Genomic DNA, 3463 nt, shown 5'->3' on the forward strand with positions numbered 1-3463 from the left:
TTCACAGATGGACAATTAGAGGTAAACTAGGGAGTAATAGTGACATATGGAGGATGGGAGTATCACGTATGTCCTTTATAAACAGCATCATGTGTGATTGACTGTAGCACAAAGGGGAACTAAGTAGAGAAGATGAGGAGAGTACATATTCAAGGATATAATGTTTGATTTGATAGTTTTTTCAGAGTAAACAAATACATTATTGAATTCAGGAAGCCAAACAATCCCCATTTTGGATGTGTAAAACATAAATTTACTTTGTTTTGAATGTGCAAAACAATATATTTTGGCTGATTTTTAGTATTTCTCTGTCTTTGGTGGCCGATTCATTATGATATTTTAAGTTTGAAACCACCACCAAAGATGAAGAATCTCTTAAAAGCAACCAAAATAAACTGTTTCATTGTGAGGGAACACTTAATAGAGTGACAACAGACTGCTCCACAATCATAAATCATAAATGTAAGTATAAGACAGTGGACTAATATTTGTAAAGTGTCAAAAAATGTAACTGCAACCTTGTAAATGCAACCTTGACCTCCTGGGTTCAAACGATTCTCCTGCCTCAGCCTCCTAAGTAGCTGGGACTACAGGCACCCACCACCAAGACCGGCTAATTTTTGAATTTTTAGTAGAGACGGGATTTCACCATGTTGGCCAGGCTGGTCTCAAACTCCTGGCCTCAAGTGATGCACCTGCCTCGGCCTCCCAAAGTGCTGGGATTACAGGCGTGAGCCACTGCTCCCAGCCACCAACAGCCTTTTAAAATCACAAGGCACAGCTTCCTTTACTGGAGCATGCTGCTTAAACTCTTGATGAATCAAAATAAATCTTTCAAGATTTTCTATTTTTTTACATGGTCATGAAATTTATGTTGGTGTGTATTTTCAAAATCGCACGTTTCCTTCATATTTGATCATTTCCTTAGTTCACAAGCATGGGCATAATGACTTTTTGTGGTTATGTAGCTATCACTACATTGTTCTCTGGGAACAGAGTTTGTAAACTACATTGCTGAAGCAAGCCTGATTTTTATCTCTGAAAAAAGAACCTCCCTTAGATTTTGGTTTTTTATTGGATCCTGATTTTTTAACATGTAAAAATCACCTGTATGTTTGCTACCTAATTTTGCCTAGATTTCCGAGTCTGTTAAATTTGCACTCATGAATATATAACAGAGGCATAAATATTTTAAATTATGTTTCTCTTTATCACCCCTGTTCTAATGACTAGTATATAGGGAAATATTTCCTTATTGGGTTTGACTTTCAATCCTGTTTTTCTGTCTGTTTCACTCTTTCTTTTCTTTATTTAATCTCATATACCTCTACTTCATGAACTGAGACTGTTCTTCCAACTTTTATATTACTTCTTTGCTCATTGGCAGGGCCGGTTCTGGTTGCTATGGTCCCGCCCCTTAGTTGCTTTTTTAAACAAGTACATTTAGATTTTTATTTTCTCATGTATCAGCAGTGTTGATAGATTACCTTTTCACTCGTTACATCTGAGTGAAATGAGTATGAATAAATATGTTCGTTCCATTTTCATCCGGGTCCTGATATTTTTTCTTCATTCTATTGATTACGTAAAATATTTTGTAGAAATTTTCTTTGAAAATTGGCAGGGTATTTAATTTTGTTTTTTTCTCTCTAATCTTTTAAAAATCAAGCAATTACATTTGTTTATTTCAAATAATAATACTCAACAATGATAATCTGTTAATTATAATGTCTTGATCATGACGCAGTTTCATCTATGGCTATTTGTTGTTTATTTATTCGAAACTCAGTCATTCATTTGGTGATTAGTAGCAATGTGATAAGCTCCTGTGACTCTAACTCACAAAATGCAAGTTGGGGCAATAACTTATATCTCATTTGAGGTTATCCACAATCGCACATTCCTATCTCCTAATGCAGTTTATTTCTTTTATATGTATGTATCAGTTAACATTTTGTCATTTATTTCTTTAAAGCTACAAAAATATGTTAATGCAAACTAATTTATTAGTCTTTTCTTTCATGCTTAGTGCTTTGCATATTCTCTTTAAGAAATCTTTCCTACATGCATATTCATGAAATATCTTTTTACACTATTTTCTAAAAGCTTTTTTCTTTTGCCTTTCACATTTCAGTTTCTAATTTAGAGTTGATATTTGTATCAGTGTAGAAGTAAAATGAAGAGGTTAAGATTCATTTTGATGTAATATGGATATCTAATTGATCCAATATAATTCAGTTATTAGAATTTTTTTCTACTACATCACTGCTATGGCCTGAATGTCTGCGTCACCTCCAAAGTTCCTGTTAAAACTGAATCTCAAGGCAACAATATTAGAAAGTAGACCCTTTGGGAGGTGATTAGGTCATGAGGGCTCAGCACTGGTGAATGAGATTCCTGCCTAATAAGGTGGCTTTACACAGACTTGCCACTTTTGCCTTTCCACCTCCAACATGTGACAACACAGCCACAAGGTGCAATCTTGGAAGCAGGAACAGTCCTCACCAGACACCGAGATTGCCAGCATCTTGACCTTGGAATTCACAGCCTTTATAACCATGAAAAAAATAAATTTATGTTGTTTGTTAATTATCCAATCTAAAGTGTTATTTTTTGTACAAATGGTTTGAGACAATTGCTGTAGCACTTTTATTGTAAATTGAGTGACTATATGTACATGCAGATCTGGTTTTAGTTTCTCTGACTCATTGCACAGGGTTATCTGTCTCAGCCTTCACCGATACCATACTGTTTTGATTCCTGTTGCTTAATATAAGCTTCAATATTGGGAAGTGTTAATCTTCCAATCTTGTTCTTATTATGTAAGATTACCATGGTTGTTTTTGTTTGTTTGTTTTCTGCCTCTTCGCATGTCCATCTAAGTTAGAAACAGCTTTTAAATTTCAACAAAATTCACAGGGATTTTGATTGTCACAGTATTCCATTAATTTGGAGAGAGTTATTATATTCACAATATTAAGTTTCCTAATACAAGAACATGGTAAAACCTTTCGCTTATTGAGTCTCCTTGATTCTCTCTCAGTAACCTTTTGTACATTTGCACATACTCTTTATAACTTTTTATTTTACCATAATATCAAACAGTGACAAGTTGGAAAAACACTGTAAGAAATATAAATTGGACCCAGATTCATCTACTGTCAATAGTTGACTTTCTACTTCCATATTCCTTCTGTAAGTTGGTATTCTGGGTACTATTAATGCACAGGAAACAAACTACCCACCAACTTAATAACACATGAAAACTGCAATCAACTGCCTATCATCTCTATGGTTCTGGATGTTTCCTGGGCTCCACAAGGTTCCTGCCAGGCTTTCCTAAGGATGCAGTCAGTGAGTGGCTAGGGTAGGCATCATCTCAAAGGTGGATGACATTAGACGTAAGGTTCTCAGCTGGAGTTGTTTGCCAATTCATGTGGCTGCTTGGTTTACTTGAAACTTC

Source organism: Homo sapiens, chromosome 2 (genome assembly GCF_000001405.40).
Source record: "Homo sapiens chromosome 2, GRCh38.p14 Primary Assembly".
Classification (NCBI taxonomy): domain Eukaryota; kingdom Metazoa; phylum Chordata; class Mammalia; order Primates; family Hominidae; genus Homo; species Homo sapiens.